The sequence below is a fragment of the Homo sapiens genome, chromosome 12 (genome assembly GCF_000001405.40).
Source record: "Homo sapiens chromosome 12, GRCh38.p14 Primary Assembly".
Taxonomy (NCBI): Eukaryota; Metazoa; Chordata; class Mammalia; order Primates; family Hominidae; genus Homo; species Homo sapiens.
The window spans coordinates 122,269,683-122,297,249 of NC_000012.12; the positions used below are offsets into that span (position 1 = coordinate 122,269,683).

A 27,567-nucleotide genomic window follows, 5' to 3' on the forward strand; every position below is an offset into this window, starting at 1 on the left:
TGGCGCATGCCTGTAGTCCCAGCTACTCAGGAGGCTGAGGCAGGAGAATCGCTTGAATCTGGGAGGCAGAGGCTGGAGTGAGCCAAGATCGTGCCACTGCGCTCCAGCCTGGGCGACAGAGTGAAACTCTGTCTCAATAAATAATAGATAAATAAAAATTTAAAAAATTACCTGGGCATGGTGGCATGCGCCTGTGGTCCCAGCCATTCAGGTGGCTGAGGTGGAAGAATTGCTTGAGCACTGGAGGCGGAGGTTGCAGTGAGCCGAGATTGCACAACTGCACTCCAGCCTGAGTGACAGTGAGACCCTGCCTCAAAACAAGAGAAGCATGTTCAAAGGCATAGCACTCAATTGGTTCAGTATCATTTTTGTAAATATTATATGGACTTTTCAATTTGTAAGACTTCATGGACGAATAGATAGTTGGCACCACATGGTGCCACATTGATTTTTATCAGGTAATTATTTTTGTCAGGTAATGTGGGGTGATACAGTAATGGATAACAACTACAAGTACGTTATGCTAAATGGGTCATGAAACACTTTAAGAAGGACAGAAAGACATACCAAAAAAAAAATGAGAGACAGTGTCTCACTCTGTTGCCTAGGAGTGCAGTGGCACAATCATAGCTCACTGTAGCCTCTTAACTCCTGGGCTCAAGCAATTCTCCTGCCTCAACCTCCCCAGTAGCTGGGACTACAGGTGTGCACCACGCTTGGCTTTTTTTTTTTTTCGAGATGGAGTCTCACTCTTTCGCCCAGGCTGGACTGCAGTGGCACGATCTTGGCTCAATGCAAGCTCCGCCTCCTGGGTGCACGCCATTCTCCTGCCTCAGCCTCCCGAGTAGCTGGGACTACAGGTGCCCGCCACCGTGCCCGGGTAATTTTTTGTATTTTTAGTAGAGACAGGGTTTCACCGTGTTAGCCAGGATGGTCTCGATCTCCTGACCTCGTGATCCACCCGCCTCGGCCTCCCAAAGTGCTGGGATTAAAGGCGTGAGCCACCGCACCAGGCCTACCAATTTCTTAAAAACTTTAGTAACAAGACTGCAGTAGAAATTGCTATATGAATGTATAGGGTTTGCTCATTTGAAGTAAAACCATTATGACAAACCTGAGAATATCAATTTACTACCATTAGCAAAAAAGAATAACCATTTATTGGCTGGGTGAGCACTCCCAACACTTTAGGAGGCTGAAGTGGGAGGATCACTTGAACCCAGGAGTTCAAAACCAGCCCGGGCAACATAGGGAGACTCACTCTGTACAAAAAATTTAAAAATTAGCCAGGTGTTGTAATCCCAGCACTTTGGGTGGCCGAGGCAGGCGGATCACGAGGTCAGGAGATCGAGGCCATCCTGGCTAACACGGTGAAACCCTGTCTCTACTAAAAATACAAAAAACTAGCTGGGCATGGTGGCGGATGCCTATAGTCTCAGCTACTCGGGAGGCTGAGGCAGGAGAATGGCGTGAACCCAGGAGGTGGAGCTTGCAGTGAGCCGAGATCACACCACTGCACCCAGCCTGGGCGACAGAGTGAGACTCCGTCTCAAAAAAAAAAAAAAAAAAAAAAAAATTGGCCAGGTGTGGTGGCACTTGCCTGTAGTCCTAGCTGCTTTGGAGGCTGAGGTGAGAGGATTGCTTGAGCTCAGGAGTTGGAGGCTGCAGCAATCCATGATTGTGCCACTGTATTCCAGCCTGGGCAACAGAGTGAGACCCTGTCTCAAACAAAACAAAACCCACAAAACAAAAAAGAATAACCATTTATTAAAGTAGATACAGAACACTTGTTTGGCCAAATTTTAATACTGCTTTACATGTTTTCTGTTTGTGAAACAATTCGTATTACATTTATAACCAAAAATTTCAACTGGTACCAGATTGAATATTCACTGTCGAACACACAGTTGATAATCTTGAGGGGAAAATACATCAAAGGCATATATACAATTATAGAAGTTCTTATTGTACATGTAGCATGGAAGATACATTTTATGACTTTTTACATATTCTAGAAGACATTCAAATGAAGATAAATAGATTCAAACTGGTCGATAAACTGTTCAGGTGCTTTGAGGTCCTTCATTTTCTTTTTTGTGATAAGAAAATCCAGAATTATTAACGTTGAATTTCTCATCGTACATTCATCTAAAAACAGTAAAAAAACTTGTGAAGGGAGATTGTAGATTGGTTATTTAGGTGTTTTATACTGGCTTATTGTTAATTGACTGCTGGGGATACCTGCCAGAGAAGGAAAAAAAAATTGGAGAAAATTCCTCCAGTTATTTAAATCTGGTGAAGAAATAAAAGGAAAACAAACAAATGAAAATGGTTGCAAAGCCACAAGATGCTATGTCTGGCCTAGTCTGTTATGTCCTAATGATCATTTTAAGTGTTTTCTTTTTCAAAAAGGTAAATGTCCAAAAAGAAAGACACATTGTGTATGTTTTTTTCCCAAAATATAGATTTTTAAAAAATATATACATACAATATATAGAAGCTGAAATTATGCAAAACTAATAAACAAAACACCACAGTAGATTAAGTGGGTGCAGCATATAGATTATAAAATGTCCCCACAGCAGTTTGGGGGCTTGCCCCTCCCTTTACCTGCTTCATGATTTTATAATCACACCTAAGTATTATCAAGCCTGAAGTAAAGGCACTACTGATAACAGGTAGTGCAAAGAGCTCAGATATTTCTTTGAATAAGAATAAAATACTTTAAATGAGTAGATGAAAATGCAAAATGGCACATTTTTTCAACTCATTCCAGTGTCAAAGCTTAACCAAAAAATCTAAATATACAAATGCAGCCTGGAAATATCTTAGTGCAAATATGAAAAGTAACGGCATAATTTAAAGTTACTTAAATAAGGTATTGTGAGGGTAGGGGTTTTTCTACAAGGTCGGGGGGCCAATAAATGTAATGGCATCTGGTGCAATGTCTTCAAACGTAAAAATCAAGAAAACAAAATTCGAGGTGAAAACTCACCTACTAAATATTTATTATTCTAACTCATACGGGGAGACTAAAGGGCAATTTGTTGAAGATCAAAATATTTTCCTAGATTTGTTGACGGGGTTAAAAAATAACATGAGTTCTCCTGAAGTCTGCACACACAATGCTGGTGTTACGTTGTGTCAATGCGAGTGCGTCTGAGCAAGCCCAGTTCTCCACTGGAGGCTTCATCAGAAGGTTTCGTCGTCATTGCAGTTGGTGGCCCAGTGTCCAAACATCTCACAGATTTCACAGTATGGGCGTTCCTCACCCCGACTGCCATGGTGTGTGGAATGGGGAGGGTCCTCTGACATCTGTGCCTGGGTAGGACAATCCTCTGTGTCGTGGAGATCAAAGCAGTCACAAATGTCACAGAAGAGGCGAGGTTTCTTCTTGGACTGTTTCTCCTGATCATCACTACAAATGTTAATGTGTGAAATCAGAAAATTTATCAGAAGAAACTGAAGAGACAAGAACACTTGCAAAAAATTTAAAAATTAAGCAAGAACTAATTATGGCCAAGTCTGTGAGCTTCCAGTATAAGTAGTGCATTATCCCACATTTAAAGTATTTTTTTTATTTTTGAGATGGAGTCTCAGACTCTCACCCAGGCTGGAGTGCAGTGGCATGATCTTGGCTTACTGCAATCTCCACCTCCTAGGTGAAAGCAATTCTCCTGCCTCAGCCTCCCAAGTAGCTGGAATTACAGGTGCGTGCCACCCCACACAGTTACTTTTTTGTATTTTCAGTAGAGATGGGGTTTTGCCAAGTTAGCCAAGTTGGTCTTGAACTCCTGACCCCAGGTGATCTGCCCACCTCGGCCTCCCAAAGTGCTGGGATTACAGTCGTGGCCACCACGCCAGCCTCACATTTAAAATCTTCATGTCAAAGCATTTGTAGTCTCCTCTCACTCACTTGCCAGATTTATGGAAATCTATTTATGGCAAAGGAACCACAAAACATTTGTTTTTTTTTGTTGCGTCTTTTTACAATCCCCTAGAGAAGCTCACTTTAAAAACATATTTATTTTGATGAAACTAAGGTTCCAATCAGTATGGTTTTTTTTGAGACAGGGTCTTGCTCTGTCACCCAGGTTGGAGTACAGTGGCGCAATCTCGGCTCATTGCAACCTCCAGCTCCAAGGCTCAAGTAGTTCTCCTGCCTCAGCCTCCCAAGTAGCTGGGATTACAGGCATGCAACACTACGCCTGGCTAACTTTTGTATTTTTAGTAGAGACGAGGTTTCATCGTGTTGGCCAGGCTGGTCTCGAACTCCTGACCCTCAAGTGGTCCGCCCGCCTCGGCCTCCCAAAGTGCTGGGATTATAGCAATCAGTATGTCTTCATATGAAATACCTGTCATAATTGTTTAGGTCATCCCCGTTCCCATTCAGGGCTGCTTCTGACATCATCTCCACCTTCATCTTGAGGTCTTGATTCTTCCTTTGAAGGTCCACTATTACTGAATTTAGGAAATCAATCTGATTTGTTAAAAAAAAAATGTGTAAAATGTCAAGAATATATATAAGCTGGAGCATCAAGAAGTCATGAAGTTTATACCTTTAAGCTCTGGCGGCAAAGTGTGCAGAAGGGGCCAACAGCGGCTATTAGGAACCCATGCTTTTCACTCTCCCGGAGGACAGGCATGCTGAGATTGTGTGAGTAAAGAGCTGAACTTAAATGAGGCCATGTCTAGGTGGTAAGGCTATGGCAGTTTCTTTTACCCCCTCACACCTTTCAGATTTCTTCAAATGTTCATTACTGAGGAGATGCTATTTTATATTTTAAAAAAAAATTTAAATTACACTTCATTGAATGTTTCTAGGTATAACATGGGTAAACTTCATTTGTTTTGTTTTGTTTTTTTTTTTTTTTTGAGACGGAGTCTCGCTCTGTCGCCCAGGCTGGAGTGCAGTGGCAGGATCTCGGCTCACTGCAGCCTCTGTCTCCTGGGTTCAAGCAATTCTACTGTCTCAGCCTCCTGAATAGCTGGGATTACAGGCATGCACCACCATGCCTGGCTGATTTTTGTATTTTTAGTAGAGACGGGGTTTTGCCATGTTGGCCAGGATGGTCTCAAACTCCTGACCTCAGGTGATCCACCCGGCTTGGCCTCCCAAAGTGCTGGGAATACATGTGTGAGCCACGGTGCCAGGCCATGAATTAATTAATTATTTTATTTATTTATGAGATGGAGTCTTGCTCTGTTGCCCAGGCTGGAGTGCAGTGGCTCGATCTCGGCTCACTGCGACCTCTGCCTCCCGGGTTCAAGTGATTCTCCTGCCTCAGCCTCCCGAGTAGCTGGGACTATAGGCACGTGCCACCAAACCCAGCTAATTTTTGTATTTTTAATAGAGACGGGGTTTCATCATATTGTCCAGGATGGACTCAAACTCCTGACCTCGTGATCCGCCTGCCTCGGCCTCCCAAAGTGTTGGGATTACAGGCATGAGCCACTGTACCCAGCTGAAATTATTCCTAAACATCTAAATCTGTGGGTTGGTGGAGTGCTATTGATTCATGAAAAAATATAAGAAACATTTTTTTAAATAGGAGAAAAAAATCTTGCATTCTCCAGAAGTCATAATCTTATATTTCTGAATATATGGGCACAAGTTTGTTTTCATTCTACCACATAAAAAATATTGGCCAGGCGTGGTGGCTCACGCCTGTAATCCCAACACTTTGGGAGACAGAGGCAGGCGGATCATCTGAGGTCAGGAGTTCAAGACCAACCTGGCCAACATAGTGATACCCTGTCTCTAGTAAAAATACAAAAATTAGCTGGGTGTGGTGGCTTACGCCTGTAGTCCCAGCTACTCAGGAGGCTGAGGCTGGAAACTCGCTTGAACCCAGGAGGCGGACGTTGCAGTGAGCCATGACTACGCCACTGCAGTCCAGCCTGGGCAACAGAGCAAGACTCCATCTCAAAAAAGAAAAAAATACACACACACACACACGCGCACACACACACACACACACACACACACACAAAATGCATAAAAAGGTTAGTTCTTCCATTAAACTCTACAATCCATCCAGGACTTTTCTGTTCGGCAGATTTGAAAAAGTCACATGGAAATTTCCTTCAGACTCTCATTTATCAACTGACTGATAATGGTGGAGCAATAAGTAAACATGTCCTCAGGGAAAATGGAGAAGGCTAAAGCTCCCTCCCAACCTAGGAGAGACAGCCAGGCACGCCAACAAGGCGGTGTTCAGGTACCACCCAGAGGGAGAGTGCCCATGCCAAGAGCTGGGGCAGTGGGGACAACAAGATGGCCAACAGGAGGGACCGCTCTTATCCTGAACATTTCCTTTCAATCAAAGGGCATTTTGACTTAAAAACAAAAAATTTCTTCCTTCTACAAATAATGAAAAGTCTCATTTCTCTAAACTGAAAGATCCCACTTTACAATATTTAAAATATATATAGATATACACACACATATACATAAATATTTTACTTTTTAAAGAAATATTTGGTCTTTTTCTCCTGCTGGGGAGTTATGAACAAAGTTAGCAATCACTGCAGTCTTTCTCTGCAGCATATCCCAGCATCATGGAGGCCACCTCTGAAGGCAGACCTACTGAGTCTACCTTCACTTCTCAACGTGCATTTTCTAAGTCATTATCGTGTTAAGAGCTCCATTTCAGGAAGAAGAAAAAGCCACAAAATGGACATAAGTATAGTGGGAAACCACACACACACACACACACACACGTGTGCACGCAAATTAGGAAACATGAAACGAACCATTTGCTGATTGGAAGAAAAGTGTTGTCAGCAGCAGATGAAACAAACCGAAGCAGAAAGGAAGGGGGAAGAGAAGACACTGTTAGTTATTAAGCCCAGTAGACATACAAAGAGGACAATGCTAATCCATGGTAAGTTTGTACAGTGTTGAATCGTTTTGTGCCCCTCAAAGGAGGTGTCTGGCAACTAACATCTCAAGGTGAGTTTTTCTTTTATTTAAATATAAAATGTGGCTTTTGTACTTTTGAATTTTGAACATGACTAATACATACAAAGTATATTAAAATTAAAAGACAGATGTTTGTTGCTATATACAATTATATTTCCAAGTACAGAATAGTTTGCCTTTATATAATCCCTTTTTACAAATTTTTGTTTGTTTTGAGACAGGGCCTTGCTCTGTCACCCAGCTTGGAGTGCCCATGTTGCGCAGGCTGGTCTCGGGCTCCAGCGATCTGCCTACCTTGGCCTACCAAAGTGCTGGGATTGCAGGTGTGAGCTGCTGTGCCCGGGCCCCCCACCCCACCTTTTTTTTTTCTGAGACAGGTTCTTGCTTTGTCAGTCAGGCCTAAGTGCGGTGGCATGATCATGGCTCACTGCAGCCTCAACCTTCTGGACTCAAGTGATCCTCCTGCCTCAGCTTCTGGGGTAACTGGGACTATGGGAGCATGGCGCCATGCCTAACTAATTTTATTTTTTGTAGAGATGGGGTCTTGCCATTGTTGCTCAGGCTGGTCTCGATCTCCTGATCTCAAACAGTCCGCTTGCCACAGCCTTCCAAAAAGCTGGAATTATAGGCGTGAGCCACTGCACCTGGCCCAGGCCCTTAAAAACTTTTTTTTAATTAAGTAATTGTTTTGAGACAGGGTGTTGCTCTGTCACTCAGGCTGCAGGATTGTTTTTTGTTTTTTTTGTTTTTTTTTTTTTGTAGAGATGAGGTCTCGCTATGTCCAGGTTGGTCTCAAACTTTTGGGCTCAAGCAATCATCCCACCTTGGCCTCCCAAAGTGCTGGAATTACAGGGATAAGCCACCATTCCTGGCCTAATCCCATTTTTAGTTTAAAACTAAAGTTGTTTTGTTAATTTTCGCTTTAAGAGACTGAGTTTTCAAGAAACCAGTCTTTTTAAGGTTCAGATGAGTAACAAACCCTTTGACAGAGCAATTCTACTTCTAGGAATTCATCCTGCAGAAATACTAATATATAAAATGATAGCTGCCCAAGATAATTCCTTACGGCATTGTTTATAATACACCCAAAGGATCAGAAACATCCCAGTGTCATTGTCAACCAATAGGGAACTGACTAAATTATAGTAAATCCACGTAATGGAACACTACATAGCTATAAAAAAAATAAGTGCAGAACCGTTTATGTAGTATGCCATTATTTATGTTAAAAAAAAAAAAGGGAGGGAAGACTGTATTAGTGCTGGCTTGTATACACACTTTAAAAAATCTCTGAAAAGGAAAGACACAAATAACAGTAATTAACTGTTTGCAGGGTTGGGAACTGAGCAGAAGAGAGAGAAGGTTTGGAGGAAGACATTTAATGTATATATTTTTAATTCTGTTTAATGTTTGGACTAGAGGAATGCATTACCAATTCAAAAGACTAAATGATACAAAAGGCATCAAATGAGAAGGAAAATAAACGAAAAGATTCAATGATTTTGAAAAACAGCAAGAAAGTAAAGCAATAAGGCAGGAACATTACCTGACTCTCCTGGGCTCTTTCATCCTCGTCTGCCTGAGTGTCTGTATTACCTTATATTTGAGGAAAAAAAAAAAAAAACAAGTGGAGGGAGAATATATGTATATTTTTAATCACAATCTAAACTGCAGTGAAAGGGCCTGTGTTCAAAACTCATTTTCCTGTGGACTTCCCAGATGCACCACTTTCAGCACATGTGGATGAGTTTGTGTCCCCTTGCGGGACCCTACAGGGTCTCACAGACACCAGCCTTGCCCTTCACGTGCTCTCCCTCAGGCCTGCTAACTCCTGGGTTAGAATGCCTGTCACGTCCATCTGAATGTACAGAGGCAATCCACCCTTCTTCACCAAAGGGACCACCTCTTCTCCTGCACTGTTATGTACTTTAAGACCCCCCAGTCTGGATGGCAGCAGGCAGCCATCATAGTAGGTTTGTGACAATATTGACAGACCACAAGAAGCCCCAGGAACGGGGATGGCAGGCACATGGGATTAGCCCTTGATTGATTAAGTGGTGGAAGAGCTAAGGAGAGTCAGGGTCAGGGCAGCATGAGAGCTGTCTTCGAAGAGCATCTCTACTAGAAAGGGCTCCTCGGGAGGACGCGGGGTGTACAGAGAAGCACTGGGCAGGCGCCCTTTACCTGAGGAGCTGCTGAGCTGCCTCTTGTTTTCTTTGAGTTGAAGCTCCAAGTTCTTTACCTTGAGCTCGAGCTTCACCTTATCAGACTCTAGAGTCTGAACAACTGAATGCAAGGACTTGGCAGAGGCGTTTTCTCCCCTGAGCACTGTGACCTGAAACACAGTTGTTTAGCTTAGGCTGAGGGTTTGAACGAAAGGAGGCCGCGTGAAAGCTCGTGCACCCTGGGTGGTACTCTACCTCATTTCTCAGTTTCTCCAGCTCGGCATCCTTTTCTGTGAGTAAGGCACTAGTTATACTGATGGATTTCTGCAAGGAAGCTTTCTCTTCATCTGCGTCTTTTATGAACTTGGATTCTCTAAAAGACCAAAGAGTTAAAAGTTCCACAAATCAACCGAAAGACTGGTCAGTGTACAACTGTTCTAGAACAAACACATAATTAATGTTAGTTAATGTAAAAAAAAAAATATAACAGGGAAGTTTTATAGGGAGTTAAGGCCATTATGCTCACAAAATTTTACTTGAAATTTTACTTACTGTGAGGGGAGAAAAAGTTTACCTATGCATAGACATGCCAGAGTCTGCATGTGATTGTATCCATTTGAACTTAAAGAAACAAGTTAATAAATTTGGAAGAGGTAGAATTAAAAAAAAAAAAAACGGTTGCACCCTCCCCAATATTCTACTAAAATCTAACCCCAAGTTGAAGTTTGTTAATTCTTGAATAAATTATTACCAAGCAATAACGACAATTAAAATACACACATGCAAAGCAGTTATACAGATGTCATGCAGAGCAGCTTTATGCTGGAAATATCAATTGGTTCTCACTAATTTCAGTAACTTTTGTAGCAAGTTCCAAGAATGGGTGTTTAAGATGTTATGGGCCAAAACAGTAGTAAAGATTATTATTATTACTCAAACTGAAGGATTATTACTTTCCAGCCATAGACTCTGAAGAGGACATTAAATTAGCTCATAGAAATTAATGGTAATTACATAAAGGCTAGAACAGAAAATGTTAAAATGGTTTTCTCAGGTGCAGAATGAAAGCATGGGGAGCCTGGAAGGAGAAATTCAGAGCGCCTGGTTTATGTTCTCGGCCTGACTCAGCACTTGGTTATCAGCAGAGGGCGGGGATGAGGCCTTTAATGAGAGGGTTGTGGGAGTGAGAAGAGAAAGGGAAAGACGAAGGAGGAACAGGGAGGAACGCAGGACACAGTGAAAACAGCCCAAAGAGCAGGCTAGCATGTGTTTACATATGTGTACCTATTTAAAGTTGTGTGTTTTTTTTATTTTTTTTTTTGACAGAGTCTCGCTCTGTTGCCCAGGCTGGAGTCCAGTGGTGCGATCTCTGCTCACTGCAACCTCCGCCTCCTGGGTTCAAGCGATTCTCCTGCCTCAGCCTCCTGAGTAGCTGGGATTACAGGCGCCTGCCACCACGCCCAGCTAATTTTTGTATTTTTAGTAGAGATGGGGTTTCACCATGTTGGTCACCAGGCTGGTCTCAAACTCCTGACCTCAAGTGATCCGCCCACCTCAGCCTCACAAAGTGCTGGGATTACAGGCGTGAGCCGGCCATACTGAAAGTTTTGTTATAAAAACTACATGCATTTCAAAATGCCAAGGTCATTAAATACAAGAAAAGGCTGAGAAACTGTCACATATAGAGAAGACGAAGGAGATATGACAACTAACTGCAAGGCGGGATCCTAGTTTGGATGCTGTAACACAAAAGGACATTAGTGAGCAAACTGGTGAAATCTGAATGAAGTCCCTTGTTTCAGCTGAGAGTATGCTGCTCATGGGAGTTTCTCAGTTTTGATGAGTGTGCCGGGGCTGTGTAGGATGTTCAATTAGGGGCCTCTGGGGGAAGGTCTGTGAGAACTGGATGCACTACTTTTGCAACTCTTCTGGAAATCTAAAATTATTTTAAAATAAAAAGTTTTTTAAATGACATGCAGTGTGAAACACGAGAGGAAAATGACAAAAATACTTTAGGAAAAACAAAACTGGAGAAAAGTTTCCTAGGCTAGGCCACAGGCCATATGACCTAAGACACTACATTACCACAGTCACCAGTGAGTGGTCATAACCTTAACAAGAAGCCAAATCACACCTGGTTCTATTCCAAGGAACTGGGAAAATGCAGAGGATGTACTGGTTGTCTGTTTTGGAACCAACTGGAGGAACAGAAAACTGAGGCCCAGGTTAGAAACGGCAGAATGTATGTCTGGTTAGTGAGACCCAAGATATCCGGCACACAAGTTACAGAAATCTCATGACTTATGGCAAATTGAAACTCTACACAAAGATGAAAATATAAGTGTTGTATTTATCTCATTGTGTGGCTTACACTTACACTCCAGAATGAGAAGTAGTAAGAAAAGAATCTGAGACAGAAATTTCTTGAATTAAAAACCCCAGCATTACTCACGCACTGGCAACGGGTGGGCATCAGTGCGGGTAAATTACTAAGCTAGTAACCTTGTTAGGACATAGGCTCTTGCTTAGGTTAAAACAGCAACTTAAATGAAAGGAATGTACAGGTGCTTTTTGCCACCTGGGAAGTAAAAATATCTGATGTCACCCAAAGATGCAATAAAGCCTGGGTTTCAGCCAGGCGCGGTGTCTCATCCATGTCATCCCAGCATTCTGGGAGGCCAAGGCAGGAGGATCGCTTGAGGCCAGGAGTTCGAGACCAGCCTGGTTGACACAGTGAGACCCCCGTCTCTACAGAAACTTACAAAAAAAAAAAATTAGCTAGGCATGGCAGCGCATGCTTGTTGTCCCAGCTACTAGGGAAGCTGAGGCGGGAGGATGGCTTGAGGCGGGAGGATGGCTTGAGCCCAGGAGCTTGAGGTTGTAGTGAGCTGTGATAGTGTCACTGCACTCCAGCCTGGGCAACAGAGCAAGACCCCGTCTGAAAAAAAAAATCCTGGGTTTCTTATGTTTCTATTAAATGCATTTAGTAGTTGATTCTGTTAAAAAAAAAATGATTTCCAGAGCTTCACTTGCTATAAATCCAACTCAAATTTGAAAAAATGTAATTTTAAATGTTTTTACTAAAAAAAACCAGGATTTTGGGTTATCAAGAAGAGATTTAGATTTCCCTATAATCAGGACTCTATTTGGCCAAGATCCCACAGATGCTTAGTGCTGGGGAGGGATAAACAAACCTCCAGCTGGCAGAAGGAAAAAGGGACAGGTGCCCTTCTCTGGGGCCACCAAACAAACTCTGCTCATCATCACACACACACACAACCTCTCAGCCTGGCTGCTTTCTAAGGAGATCGCTGCCAGAATGCTTCTTATACAAGTTACCAACACGTGCATGGTTAAGAAAGAAATTTGACTTGTGATTTATACACCAAATGACAGGATAAGTAGACTCTGGCAGCTCATCTTTGTGACCTATTGTCATTGCTAGCTTCTTAGGCCATCTCTAAGCTCCAATTCCACTATGCAAACCACCAGGAGGGACTACATTAAACCATTGTCTATGCCAACATTACTGACGTCTGAGTCACAAATCGTATTAAGCCATTAGCTGGAATGACTTGGTATTACCAAAAAAAATCAAGAAGGGAAAATAAACATAACATGAAAGAAGGGATAGAGGGAACAGAAATCTTTCTCTCTCCATCTCCCAAGGGAACATTTTACCCAGATTCTTTCCTTACTACTTATATAAGAAACAAATTCCAGTAATGAAGCAAATACCTTAAAGTGTTACTGGGCAAGCTTTAAAAATGCAAGATAACAAGAACCAAATATTAGAACCATGAAGAGAAACGCAAATACAGTAAGGAGACTAAATTTGCACTGAAGTTCTTTGCTGTATATAGATATAAAAAGGAAATATATGTGTGTGTTTGTGTGTGTATATATATATGTATATATATATACTGCTGAGAATATTTTACAAAACAAAAGCAAGACACAGAGGGACAAAGGCAGCCAAAAAATATATACAACAATTTGGTTTACTAAAAATATATGAAATTTATTTATTATAACGTGGATAGACTTTCTTTAGTCTTACCATTAAAGACACACAGATATAGCAAAGGAAGCAAGAGTAGGAAAGGGAAAAGAGAGGGGTGAAATGAGCATTGGTAAGTAGCGCAAGCTCGGAGACAGTCAGACAGTTAGCAACCCACAGTGAGCCGGATGAGCTGAAGTAGCACGGGACCTCCTCAGAATTTGGGGGCTTTATTGTCAAACCAGTTTTTACTCCTAACAGAAATCCTGCACTGGCACTGACAGGATGAATTCTGACTCCAAAATCCATGCCTCGCGCCTTTGGCTTTGGAGCCCCTTCTTTGACACTAAAAAGCCTAGAGAATGGAGCAACCAAACCGGCTCCCAAATCTGCATCAGGCTTCAGAGGCACAGATGAACAAACTCCCCCAGTTCTGGCAATTAGAGCAATGCAAGGCATACCCTGCTTTACCCATTAGACTCTTAGAGCCTGTTTTAAAAGGCTTACCCAACTTGAGAGTTTTTCAAAGAAATGATTACATTTTTATGCTTGGGGAAAAATTTTTTACTACATACTGCTTGCAACTCAATGTTTAAAGTTACAAAAAAACAAAAAACAAAAAGAAAAAAAACCCCACAGCAAATAAAGAAGGATTCCACTAATTCCTTTCTTTTTCTTTCTTTCTTTTCTTTTTTTTTTTTTTTGAGATGGAATCTCGCTCTGTTGCCCAGGCTGGAGTGCAGTGGTGCGATCTCGGCTCACTGTAACCTCCGCCTCCTGAGTTCAAGCAACTCTGCTGCCTCAGACTCCTGAGTAGCTGAGATTCCAGGCACCCGCCACCACACCCAGCTAATTTTTGTATTTTTAGTAGAGATGGGGTTTCACCATGTTGGCCAGGCTGGTCTTGAACTCCTGACCTCAGGTGATCCTCCCAAAGCACTGGGATTACAGGCGTGACCCACCGCACCCAGCCGGATTCTAATTTCTTCATGATAACCAGTTTAATCCTACAGTTGGGAGTAAGTTCTGCACTTGAATATCATGACTATTTGGCCATAGTGATTCTATTACTATCTTAACTATGTACGTTTAATGATCACTTCTGAATTCAAGTGTTGACTAAGCTCTCAGTTCTTGCATGACCAACTACATTTCAAATACTCACAATGTAAGTATTTGCAAGGCTTTTTAAATTAATAGTATATTAAGTTCTTTTTGGTACTCAATGGTTGACACATTTATTTAACCATTACACGCATAGGCCTACATATGAATCCTTTATCAATCTGAGTTTTAGAAGGCAATGAAGGGCCCCAACTATTATCTAAAATCCATTTACATTCAGGTTTCTAAAACAGAAATAACTTTCCATAAGGGTTAATTAACAAACAAACAAAAAACACTTCTACACATGAGAAACTAGGAGTGAAATTTTCACTCCCAGAAAAAGTCATCTTTATCTATAATTTCTGATGAAAATTAAGAGTGATTTTCAAGAGACATCCTCCTAAACATTGAGGACATAAAACAGGAACAGAGAGAAGTAGGAGAGAGAACTTCACGGCCCCAAAATTTGTTTCATCTTTTTTTTTTTTTTGAGATGGAGTTTTGCTCTTGTTGCCCAGGCTGGAGTGCAATGGCGCGATCTCGGCGCACTGCAACCTCTGCATCCCGGGTTGAAGCGATTCTCCTGCCTCAGCCTCCTGAGTAGCTGGGACTACAGATGCCCGCCACCGTGCCCGGCTATTTTTGTATTTTTAGTAGAGACGGGGTTTCACCATGTTGGCCAGGCTGGTCTCAAACTCCTGACCTCAGGTGATCCACCTGCCTCGGCCTCCCAAAGTGTTGGGATTACAGGCATGAGCCACTGCACCTGGTCATGTTCCATCTTTTTAAGCCATGAAAAGCGTCCCATGCCTAACCATATTTTGAAAGGCATGTAATTTACTTAAAGTTACATGATAAGGACTTCATCATTAAGTACATCATCTCTTTTTTAAAAAGATACACATAAATAATAAATAAATAAAAAGCTTAAAAATTCACTCAGAAGAGAACCAGCATAAAAAATCTGATGATCTGAGTCTTTAGCCTACACCTGTCTTTTATTAGTCCTGAGTCCTTGGCCAACTTGCCTAACTTTTTGAGCTTTAGTTTCATCATTTTATGTATTTATTTTATTTTAGAGACAGGGTCTCACTATGTTGCCCAGGCTAGAGTACAGCAGCTCTTCTCAGGCATGATCAGAGTGCACTACAGCACTGAATACCTGGGCTCAAGTGATCCTCTCACCTCAGCCTCCTGAGTAGCTGGGACTACAGGCATGTGCCACCATGTCCAGCTAATTTCATCATTTAAAAATGCAAGCTCCACCATTATATTTCACTGGGTTGTTTTGAGATTAGATCAATTTGTGAATTATGACGTGCTACATAAATGTAGGGAGATACCAGTCCTTTTTTTTTTTTTTTTTGAGACGGAGTCTTGCTCTGTCACCAGGCTGGAGTGCAGTGGCACGATCTCGGCTCACTACAACCTCCACCTCCCGGGTTCAGGCAATTCTCCCGCTTCAGCCTCCTGAGTAGCTAGGACTGCAGGCACATGCCACCATGCCCAGCTAATTTTTGTATTTTTAGTAGAGACGGGGTTTCACCTTTCACCATGTTAGCCAGGATGGTCTCAATCTCTTGACTTTGTGATCCACCCACCTCGGCCTCCCAAAGTGCTGGGATTACAGGTGTAAGCCACGGTGCCCGGCCTAATTTTTGTATTGCCAGGCTGGTCTTGAACTTCTGACCTCAAGTGATCCACCTGCCTTGGCCTCCCAAAGTGCTGGGATTACAGGCGTGAGCCACCGCACCCGACCTTTTTTTTTTTTTTTTTAAATGGAGACATAGTCTCACTATGTTGCCCAGGCTGGTCTTGAACTCTTGTGCTCAACTGATCCTCCCTTTTTGGCCTCCCAAAGTGCTGGGGTTACAGGCATGAACCACCGTGCCAGGCCACAGCTCCCTTGCCAGAATGCTGCAGGAACAAGCCCTATTTATTTTTTCACGTGTCCTTGATAACTCCTTACATAAGGGTTTTTTTTTTAAAAAAGAAACAAAAATCTTATTTATGTAAAATTAAATACCCCGAGGCCCACAGAGACAGAATTGTGGCTATAAACAGGGACGAGGTTTAGGCATGGCAAACTAGGCATCACTTTTCAAGTTCCCTGGAGAACATCTGGCTGGGCTGGGAATCATTGGTTATGCTATTCTTTAAGGTTTGTTTTTAGTTTTAGTTTTGTTTCTAATAAGCAAAAAAGCACATCACTGTTGTGATACGCACCTATTTAGTATTCTGCAGCAACTGCTGGATAGGCTGTTGTTCTCAGCAGTAGCACCCACTAAACCTGCTTGGCACCGTGTAAAGCACAGACATTCTCTAAATAAAAACCGCACATTTTAAAAGAGCAGACAGGCCAGGCGCAGTGGCTCACGACTGTAATCCCAACACTTTGGGAGGCTGAGGCAAGTGGATCACGAGGTCAGGAGTTAGAGACAAGCCTGGCCAAGATGGTGAAACCCTATCTCTACTAAAACTACAAAAATTAGCCAGGCATGGTGGTGCACGCCTGTAATACCAGTTACTTGGGAGGCTGAGGCAGGAGAATTGCTTGAACCTGGGAGGTGGGGAGGTTGCAGTGAGAGCCAAGATCGCGCCACTGCACTCCAGCCTGGGTGATAGAGCAAGACTCTGTCTTAAAAAAAAAAAAAAAAAAAAAAAAAAAAAAAAGTAGACAAAGACTTATCAGGGGCACGGCAGTGGTGAAACACACGCGCATTCTGAGTATAAACACCACCTTAGTGAAATTTCACTAAATATTTCTAAATTTAAAAAAAGGAAAGGCAGCCTGGGCAACATAACAAGACCTTGTCACTATAAAAAAAAATTTTTAAAGCCGGGTGCGGTGGCTCACGCCTGTAATCCCAGCACTTTGGGAGGCTGAGGCAGGCGGATCACGACGTCAGGAGATAGAGACCATCCTGGCTAACACGGTGAAACCCCATCTCTACTAAAAATACAAAAATTTAGCCGGGTGTGGTGTCATGCACCTGTAATCCCAGCTACTCAGGAGGGGGAGGCAGGAGAATCGCTTGAACCCAGGAGGCGGAGGTTGCAGTGAGCCGAGATCGCACCACTGCACTCCAGCCTGGGCGACAGAGCGAGAGTCTGCCTCAAAAAACAAACAAACAAACAAAAAATTAGCCAGGTGTGATCACGCATGCCTGTAGTCCCAGCCACTTGGGAGGCTGAGAGGTCGGAAGATCAATTGAGCCCAGGAGATTGAGGCTGCCGTAAGCCATGATTGAGCCATTGCACTCCAACTGGGGAGACACAGCAAGATCATGTCTGAAAAAAATAAATTAAAAAAAGAAAAAAGAAAATGCATCCCTGGACCAAGGCCTAACGTCCTTTAGAATGTGGCTTACGGAATCCAAATAGCTAAATCTAAATAAATAAAGCCCTCAACTCCTAAGCAACTGCTACGCTGGCAGAGGAGACAGTGCTGCGTAAAACATACGCTTCAGTAGGTCGGTGGGGAAACCTCCTCTGCCCTGACGAGTGGGAATAATACTTCACAAGAGCATGGAGAAATTACTGGTTATGCTATTCTTTAAGGTTTGTTTTTATTTTTAGTTTTGTTTTTAACAAGCGAAAAAGCACATCACTGTTGTAATATGCACCCATTCTGCAGCACCCACTGGACAGGCTGTGGTTCTCGGCAGTAGCACCCCCTAAACCTGCTTGGACCGTGTAGCACAGACATTCTCTAAACAAAAACTGCACGTTTTAGAAGAGCAAAGACTTATCAGCTTATAGAAGCATGAAGCTTCTACACAATTATTTCTGTGAGCTATGTTCTTCCTTATTGGAAAGTACTGAAAAAGTTATCCTAGTTTTTAATTTGAGTATCATTTGACTATCATGGGAGAGTAAGTAAGAAAGCCTTTTAAAGCAAATAGAAACACTTAAAATCACATTACCCATTATTAGTGAACATTAAAATTTTCATATAATTGAAATCAGTATTTATATCCAGATCAATAACTGTATGTAAGATTCTAGTATGTTTAGTTACTGAAACTAGGAGGTAACAGTGGTGTAACATGAGACAATCTGATTTTAGATCACTTCTGAGTGAAAGCAACTGAACATGGCTTATGAACTATTTTTGTTTTAGTAATAGTGAAACTTCTGCAAATGGATTCTCTTTTTCTTTTTTTTTTTTGAGACGGAGTCTCTCACTGTTGCCCAGGCTGGAGTGCAGTGGCGCGATCTCGGCTCACTGCAACCTCCGCTTCCCAGGTTCAAGTGATTCTCCTGCCTCAGCCTCCCAAGTAGTTGAGATTACAGGCACCTGCCACTATGCCTGGCTAATTTTTTGTATTTTTAGTTGAGATGGGGATTCACTATGTTGGTCAGGCTGGTGTCGAACTCGTGATCCGCCAGCCTTGGCCTCCCAAAGTGCTGGGATTACAGGTGTGAGCTATCACACCTAGCCCTGCAAATGGATTTTCATATTTTGTCAGTTACAAGTACCAAACTATCACAATGCCATTTTCTGAATCTAAGAAGGTCACTTGTTTTCTACTATAAGTTACCACACATATCATGTTCTGACATCTTATTAAACACACACACATACAACAATAAACAGAAAGCTTACCTTTTTTTCATTTCTAACAACTGATTATTGAGCACAGATCTTTCTTCTTCCAGCTAGGAAAAAAACACAAAAAACTTCAGTTCATAACCAGGCCACAGAAAGGCATATTTCTCATCCCACATGTACATCCCCCAGGCTCCAGGACAGCTAAAGCCATTGGCTTTCCTCAACAGCAATGAAGAGGGACAAGTGGTCACTCTATCACAGGATGTGTAGTTATTAATATATAAATCACTTACGACCTCAGTAACTCCCCCTCCTCAGGGACCTGAGAGTTAAACATATTAAACAATCACACCTTGAACACAACGAAGCACATCTTTTTTTTTTTTTTTTTTTTTTTTTGAGACGGAGTGTCGCTCTGTCGCCCAGGCTGGAGTGCAGTGGCGTGATCTCGGCTCACTGCAAGCTCCGCCTCCCGGGTTCACGCCATTCTCCTGCCTCAGCCTCCCGAGTAGCTGGGACTACAGGCGCCCGCCACAACGCCCGGCTAATTTTTTGTATTTTTTAGTAGAGACGGGTTTTCACCGTCTTAGCCAGGATGGTCTCGATCTCCTGACCTTGTGATCCGCCCGCCTCAGCCTCCCAAAGTGCTGGGATTACAGGCGTGAGCCACCGCGCCTGGCCCAAAGCACATCTTAAGCATTCAAAAATGTTAATTGGCCAGGCGCGGTGGCTCACACCTGTAATCTCAGCACTTTGGTGGGGCAAGATGGGCGGATCAGGAGTTCGAGCCCAGCCTGGCCAACATGGTGAAAGCCCATCTCTACTAAAAATGTAAAAATTAGCCAGGTGTGGTGTGTGCCTACAATCCCAGCTACTCAGGAGGCTGAGGCAGGAGAATCGCTTGAACCCAGGAGGCAGAGGTTGCAGTGAGCCAAGATTGAACCACTGCACTCCAGCCTGGGTGACAGAGTGAGACTCCATCTAAAAAAAAAAAATTGTTAAATGATTGAGTAAAGCTCCACTGCTAACATTCTAGTTCCTTTACTTAAACCGCAGAAGTCAAGTGTCACTAAATTGCAGAGGACTAGGTACAGGCTACATACTCTCTGTGGGCCTCAATGTACTCACATCCATCAATTCAACACACATTCATTGAATGGTTAGTATATTCAAGCATTATTCAAGCATTTGTTTCTCATGTATAAAACAAAGAGGTTACAAAAGAATTTCCAGTGGTTCTTTATTATCTCATGAAGGATAAAAAACAAAAGATTCAGGTAGTTAATCTTGTGAAGGAGGAATCATCTCTACCTCCAACCTGCACTACCCAGTTTGGCCAAATACCACCAGTTTCAACTCACACTGTTAATGTTTTTTTTTTTTTTTCTTTTTTGATACAGAGTCTTGCTCTGTTGCCCAGCTGGAGTGCAGTGGTGCAATCTCGGCTCACTGCAACCTCTGCCTCCCAGGTTCAAGTGATTCTCCTGCTTCAGTCTCCCAAATAGCTGGGATTACAGGTGCCTACCACCATGCCCAGCTAATGTTTGTATTTTTAGTAGACAGGGTTTCGCCATGTTGGCCAGGCTGCACACTGTTAATTTTTTTAAAAGGGTCAAAAAGCTCTTATATTTTTTTAAATAAAAAGATAACACCAAAGATTATGTAATGGCTTCCAACAGCCTAGAATTTAAGTTACTAGCTCACTCTAAGTAGTTATAGTCATTATTAATTATTACTTATGTTCATGCTTTGCTATGAGGTCTTATTTTAAAAATTCTTAAATATACATTATGTTCTGAACATAAATATCCCTTTACCATGAAATCTGTAAATGTTAACATAGTTTTATAGACTCTTTGATGTCCTAGCCCATTAAGATGTATGTTTTTGCTGCATGACTAATTCACAGAAATATTTAGAAATTTTTAGAATGAAAGGAAGAAAAAAGAGTGGGAGGCAAACTTTAAAAAATGAAATGAGAAAGAGAACATCTGGAGAGTGGGATATGGAGATGAGAAGGGTTTTCATTTTGGTCTTTATGCCCTTTGTACAGTTTATATTTATTCTTTAAAGAAGGAATCTGTTTTAGTTTTATAATTTAAAAGTTAAAAAAATCAATACTTAAAACTGGAAAATTTTTACAATGAATATATAAATGGACAAAGAGCATGGCAGACAATTCACAAAACAAAATAAAAATCATTAGTGAATATTTGAAAAATCATTCAACCCTACAAAAACACAATACGCAAAGATTCTCCCTCTTTCTTAGAGGGTCCATGTGCCTGAATTTCCAAGGAAGAGATGTTTGATATTTATCATACTGATCTTTATAGAAAACAATGTTTTTTCTTCTTCTGGTCCAGGATTATTACCCAATCTAGGAGATAGCAAGCTGCATCTAGCAGTTTTATTTCTTTTTTCTTTTTTTTATTTTTTTTTATTTTTTTTAGTTTTTTAAGTTTTTTTTAGTTTTTTTTTTAGTTTTACTCTTGTTGCCCAGGCTGGAGTGCAATGGCCCTACCTCAGCTCACTGCAACCTCAGCCTCCTGGGTTAATGTGATTCTCCTGCCTCAGCCTCCTAAGTAGCTGGGATTACAGGCGCTGCCACCATGCCTGGATCATTTTTTGTATTTTTAGTAGAGGTGGGGTTTCACCATGTTGGCCAGGCTGGTCTCAAACTCCTGACCTCAGGTGATCCACCCGCCTCAGCCACCCGAAGTGTTGGGATTACAGGTGTCAGCTTCTGCGCCCGACCCTTTTCTTTTTTTTTGAGACAGAGTCTCACTCTGTCACCTAGGCTGGAGTGCAGTGGCGCGATCTTGGCTCACTGCAACCTCTGCCTCCCAGGTTCAAGCGATTCTCCTGTCTCAGCCTCCCAAAGAGTGGGGATTACAGATGTGTGCTACCATGCCCAGCTAACTTTTCTATTTTTAGTAGAGACGGGGTTTCATCATGTTGGCCAGGCTGGTCTCGAACTCCTGACCTCAGGTGATCCACCCGCCATGGCATCCCAAAATGCTGGGATTACAGGTGTGAGCTATCACGCCCGGCCAGTTCCTCATTCTTTCCTTGTCTTTTATGGCCTTGACAGTTTTGAAGAGTATAAGCCAGTTATTTTCTAGAACGTCAGTTTGGATTCGTCTGATGTTTCCATGTCATTAGAGTCAAATCATGTACTTTTTGGCAGGAACACCACAGAAGTAATCCTGTGTCCTTCTCAGCAGATGATATCAGGAGGTACACACTGTTGATTTTTGGTGAGGTTAACTTCGGTCACTTGGTTAAGGAGGAAGTATCTTCCATGTTTCTCCACTGGAAAGATACTATTTTTTTCATTGTAATTAATATGTATTTTTGGGGGATACGTTTTGAAACTACGTAAATATCCTGTTATTCAACAAACTTTTACCTACTTGTTTTAGCACAGATTGATGATTCTTGCCTGAACAAATTATTACCATGCTGGTTACCATATGATGATTGTATGACTCTGTCATTCCAACCATTAAATATTAGTTGGCCTTCTACCATGAGAAAGGGCTTTCATTTTCCATTCATTCATTCATTCATTCAAGACAGAGTCTCGCTCTGTCACCCAGGCTGGAGTGCAGGGACAAAATCTCGGCTCACTGCAACCTCCGCTTCCCAGGTTCAAGCAATTCTCGTGCCTCAGCCTCCCAAGTAGCTGGGATTACAGGCATGTGTCACCACGCCAGGCTAATTTTTTGTATTTTTTTTTTTTTTTAGTAGAGATGGAGTTTCACTATATTGGTCAGGCTGGTCTCGAACTCCTGGCCTCAAGCGATCTGCCCATCTTGGCCTCCCAAAGTACTGGGATTACAGGTGTGAGCCACTACTCCTGGCTTCCATTTATTTATTAATACCTGTTTAGATTCATGGTTTCCTGTTATTCAGTCGGTTATAATCTATTATATCTCTATTTATTTTGATGCTCGAATTATCTCACATTTGGTCAGTGGGAGCTTCTTCAAGATGGCTCTGATGTCCTCTCCACTAATCTCTATTATTCTTTGAGCGCTTCCTTGCTTTTTGGTACACAAAATATTCCAAGCTCACCTTATACTCTTTCCGTCCCAGCCCTGGCATCAGCCATTTCTCTATGCACTTCTGACTCCTTTAGTGAAGAGTATTTAGAAAACAAGCTCTAGGCATTAGTTGTGCTCATTGGTACTGGGTTTTGTTACTTCTAAGCCCTGTCAGTGGAGTTGACCAAAACTTAAAACTTCTACTCTTCAAAAGATATTGTTAAGAAAGTATAAAGATGGCCGGGCACGGTGGCTCAAGCCTGTAATCCCAGCACTTTGGGAGGCCGAGGCGGGCGGATCACGAGGTCAGGAGATCGAGACCATCCTGGCTAACATGGTGAAACCCCGTCTCTACTAAAAATATAAAAAATTAGCCGGGCGCGGTGGTGGGCGCCTGTAGTCCCAGCTACTCGGGAGGCTGAGGCAGGAGAATGGCATGAACCCGGGAGGCGGAGCTTGCAGTGGGCCGAGATAGCACCACTGCAGTCCAGCCTGGGCAAAAGAGCAAGACTCTGTCTCAAAAAAAAAAAAAAAAAAAAGGCAAAGAAAGTATAAAGACAATCCACAGATGGGGAGAAAACATTCGCAAAACACAACCCAATAAAGAACTTGTATCTAGAATATAGTAAGAACTTTCATAATGCAATAATATGTAGACACAAAAACAAAATGAAAAATGACCGAAAGATGTGAATGGACATTTTACCAAAGAAGAGAGACAGATGGTTAGTAAGCACAGGAAATGATACTCAGCATCATCAGTCATCAGGAGAACGCAAACTGAAACCACACTGAGATACACTCCACATGCCACCTGGGCACCCAAGCCCTCCATCCCAGTGGTTCCCTAGTTGGCAAATAGATTAATGTTTAAAAAGACAAAACAAAACAAAAACCCCTAGGTGCTGAGAAGTATGTGGGATAACCGGAAACCTCATAAATTGCTGGTGAGAATGTAAAATAGTACTAATTTTGGAAAATGGTTTGAGAATTTCTTTTTCTTTTTTTTTTTGAGACGGAGTTTCGCTCTTGTTGCCCACGCTGGATTGCAATGGCGCAATCTCGGCTCACTGCAACCTGTGCCTCCTGGGTTCAAGCGATTCTCCTGCCTCAGCCTCCTGAGTAGCTGGGATTATAGGCATGTGCCACCACGCTCGGCTAATTTTCTATTTTTAGTAGAGACAGGTTTTCTCCACGTTGATCAGGCTGGTCTCGAACTCCTGACCTCAGGTGATCCGCCCGCCTCGGCCTCCCAAAGTGCTGGGATTACAGGCGTGAGTTACCGTGCCCGGCCTGAGAATTTGTTTTTTTTTTTGTTTTTTGTTTTTTGTTTTTTTTTGAGACAGAGTCTTGCTCTGTTGCCCAGGCTGGAGTGCAGCGGCGCAATCTCGGCTCACTGCAAGCTCTGCCTCCCAGGTTCACACCATTCTCCTGCCTCAGCCTCCCGGAGAATTTCTTAAAAAGGTAAACATACACTTACCATACTAGCAATTCCACTCTTAGGTGTTTACCCATGATAAATGAAAACATATGCCCCTGGCCTCTTCACGAATTCAAAACAACTTTACTCAAAATACCCCCAAACCTGTAATCCCAGCACTTTGGGAGGCCGAGGCGGGCGGATCACAAGGTCAGGAGATCCAGACCATCCTGACTAACATGGTGAAACCCTGTCTCTACTAAAAATACAAAAAAATTAGCCGGGTGTGGTGGTGGGTGCCTGTAGTCCCAGCTACTTGGGAGGCTGAGGCAGGAGAATGGCGTGAACCTGGGAGAAGGAGCTTGCAGTGAGCTGAGATGGCGCCACTGCACTCCAGCCTGGGTAAGAGTGCAAGACTCTGTCTCAAAAAAAAAAAAAAACAAAAAAAAAAACCCCAAACTGGAACAACCCACTGTCCAAATGGATAAAGCAACTATGATATAATCCCAAACTGCTGATATACATAACAACATGGATAGACCTCCAAAGGAATATGCTAAGTGAAATAAATCAGAGTGACCGGGCACAGTGGCTCACACCTGTAATCTCAGCACTCTGGGAGGCCAAGGCAGGATGACCACTTGAGCCCAGGAGTTCGAGACCAGCCTGGGTAACATAGTGAGACCTTGTCTCTATAAAAAGATCAAAAAATTAATCAAATGTGACACAGACGCCTGTAGTCCTAGCTACTCAGGAGGCTGAAGTGGGAGGCTACAATGAGTCAAGACTGCACCACAGCACTCCAGCCTGGGTGACAGAGTGAGACCCTGTCTCAAATAATAATAATAAAATAGATAAAAATAGGGCCGGGTGCAGTGCCTCACGTCTGTAATCTCAGCACTTTGGGAGGCAAGGTAGGCAGATCATGAGGTCAGGAGATAGAGACTCCATCCTGCCTAACTAACATGGTGAAACTCCGTCTCTACTAAAAATACAAAAAATTAGCTGGGCGTGGTGGCATGCACCTCTATAATCCCAGCTACTCAGAAGGCTAAGACAGGAGAATTGCTTGAACCCAGGAGGCAGAGGTTTCAGTGAGCCAAGATTGTGCCATTGCACTCCAGCCTGGGAGACAGAGCGAGACTCCATCTCAAAAAAAAAAAGAAAAATAATAATTAAAAATCAATAAATTAAAATTAAAAATAGAAAAAGATTTTCTCTTTGGGAGGCTGAGATGGGCGGCAAATCATTTGAGGTTGGAGTCCAAGACCAGCCGGCCAACACGATAAAACCCCATCTCTACTAAAAACACAAAAATGAGCCAGGTGTGGTGGCGTGTACTTGTGATCCCAGCTACTCAGGAGGCTGAGGCAGGAGAATCGCTTGAACCCAGGAGGCAGAGGTTGCAGTAAGCCAAGATCGCACCACTGCACTCCAGCCTGGGGAACAGAGTGAGACTCCGTTTCAAAAAATTAAAAAGAAACTAGATACATAAGGCTATATAATGTTTTGAATTTCCCAAATTTCCTTATGTATAATGTCTAATGTTTTCTACTGTGGTAAGGGAAAATAGTTTGAAATATTTCACCTTTTTAAATTGACTGAAAATCATTTTATGGTCTAACACATAACCTGTCCTGGAGAATGCTCCCTGTGCACTTGAGAAGTGTGTGTCTTCTGCTGCTGTTGGATGGAGCAATCTGCAGATGACTGTTAGGTCCTGTTGATTTAGAGTGTTATTCAAGTCTTCTGTTTCCTTCTTCATCTCTGCATAGTTGTTCTACCCATCACTGAAATGGGGTACTGAAGCCTTCAGCTATAATTGTTGAATTTTCAATTTCTCTTTTTAATTCTGTCAGTTTTTGCTTCATGTATTTCGGGACTCTGTTATTAGGTACATCTATGTTTAAAATTGTTATATCTTTCTGATGGATTGACATTTTTTCGTTGTTCTCTGTCTCTAGTAACAATTTTTGCCTTAAAATCCATTTTGTCTGATAGTAGTATAGTTTCTCCAGCTTGCTTTTGGTTACTGTTTGCATAGTATGTCTTGTTCCATCCTTTTACTTTCAACCTATTTGTGGCTTTGAATATAAATTGCATCTCTTATAGACAGCATATAGTTAGATCATGTTATTTTAAAAATCCATTCTGCTAGTCTCTGCCATTTATTCAGAGTGTTCAATCCATTTATATTTACTGTGTTTATGAATAAGGTTACATACTGTTTTGATTCCATTTATGTGACCTACTAAAAAAGGTAAAACTATTGGATCAGAAAAGAGTTTTCAGGGAGTGAGAATGAACTGACTATAAAGGAGGATAAGAGAACCTTTTGGGGTGAAGGAAATCTTGATTGTGGGGTCAGTTTTATGACCATATATATTTGTCAAAATTCACCCAACTATACACCTATGAAGGGTAAATTTTATTTGATGTAAATTAGACCTTAATAAACATGACTTTGAGAAAAAGAAAGCAAGTTGGAGTAATATGTACAATATGGCTTTTGTAGAAAACAAAAACAATGTGTGCATATATGCATTTGCATATGCTGGTATATACACGAGGAACACCAAGGAAAAATATACCATTTATAATGTAGCTTCAATGAAATGGCAATGAAGAGGAGTAATAACTTTTAAATTACACATATTTGTATTGTTTCATATTACAAATGTATTATATTTCTAATTTAAAAATAACATTACAATTTAAAATAAATAATTCTTATTTCTTTGGAAATAAAAAAATTATAGATGAAATGACAGGGTATCTAGGATTTAGGATTTGCTTCAAAACACTCAGGGTAGAGCTGAGTGCGGTGGCTCATGCCTGTGGTCCCAGCTACTCAGGAAGCTGAGGCAGGAGGATTCCTTGAGCCTTATAGCTGGAGGTTTCAGTAAGCTATGATCATGCCACTGCACGCTAGCCTGGGTGACAAAGTGAGACTACCTCAAAAAAAAAAAAAAAAAAAAAACATGCAGGGCAAACAAGGTAGAGAGGATGAATGGGAGTACAGCGTAGACGAGTGGCCAAGAGTTAATTGCTAATGAAATTTTATACACAGAGATTCATTGTACTGCTCACTCTGCTTCTGTGTATGCTTGAAACTTTTCATAATAAAAGGTTAAAAAAGAACATGGATATGTAAAGGGGAAAAAAGGGAGAGTTAAAGAAAAATATTTCAGAGAACAATGTTACAGTGAAAGTGATGCACAAATAATCATAGTTCGGGGAACACTGGACTGGAAAATCTCCAAGAGCTCATGTATGCATAACCCTATTTTGTAAATAAACATGGTGGGTACTTGGTTTTATGTCTGTCAGCTACGCTAAGAAAAAT

At 42.0% G+C, this 27,567-nt stretch overlaps 1 protein-coding gene across 24 annotated transcripts in view, besides 3 other annotated features; it reads right to left on the minus strand.

Annotated features, from left to right (window-relative positions):
* CLIP1 (CAP-Gly domain containing linker protein 1) overlaps positions 1,787–27,567 on the minus strand; it is a 151,488-nt gene continuing 125,707 nt past the window's right edge. For 14 of the 24 annotated variants that reach the window (XM_047429314.1, XM_047429320.1, XM_047429318.1 and 11 more), the window contains 7 exons: positions 18,807–18,859; positions 9,346–9,463; positions 9,110–9,260; positions 8,472–8,521; positions 6,757–6,762; positions 4,356–4,480; positions 1,787–3,418 (listed from right to left, as the gene is read on the minus strand). In XM_047429314.1, coding sequence (XP_047285270.1) covers positions 3,193–3,418; positions 4,356–4,480; positions 6,757–6,762; positions 8,472–8,521; positions 9,110–9,260; positions 9,346–9,463; positions 18,807–18,859 — 729 coding nt within the window. In that variant the 3' untranslated portion in view covers positions 1,787–3,192. The remainder of the gene's footprint in view (positions 3,419–4,355; positions 4,481–6,756; positions 6,763–8,471; positions 8,522–9,109; positions 9,261–9,345; positions 9,464–18,806; positions 18,860–27,567) is intronic. The other 10 variants (XM_047429321.1, XM_047429319.1, NM_198240.3 and 7 more) reach the window with 1 other exon arrangement.
* Positions 12,727–12,927: a silencer, noted in NCBI's record as "peak2017 fragment used in MPRA reporter construct". NCBI's record gives its function as "represses an SCP1 promoter by STARR-seq MPRAs in K562 erythroleukemia cells {active_cell/tissue: K562}" and the evidence as "EXISTENCE:reporter gene assay evidence [ECO:0000049][PMID:32103011]".
* Positions 19,306–19,465: a silencer, noted in NCBI's record as "fragment chr12:122773535-122773694 (GRCh37/hg19 assembly coordinates)". NCBI's record gives its function as "represses an EF-1alpha promoter that drives an FKBP-Casp9 reporter gene in an ReSE screen in HepG2 liver carcinoma cells {active_cell/tissue: HepG2}" and the evidence as "EXISTENCE:reporter gene assay evidence [ECO:0000049][PMID:32094911]".
* Positions 23,639–23,698: an enhancer, noted in NCBI's record as "active region_7214". NCBI's record gives its function as "activates an Ori minimal core promoter by ATAC-STARR-seq in GM12878 lymphoblastoid cells {active_cell/tissue: GM12878}" and the evidence as "EXISTENCE:reporter gene assay evidence [ECO:0000049][PMID:35858748]".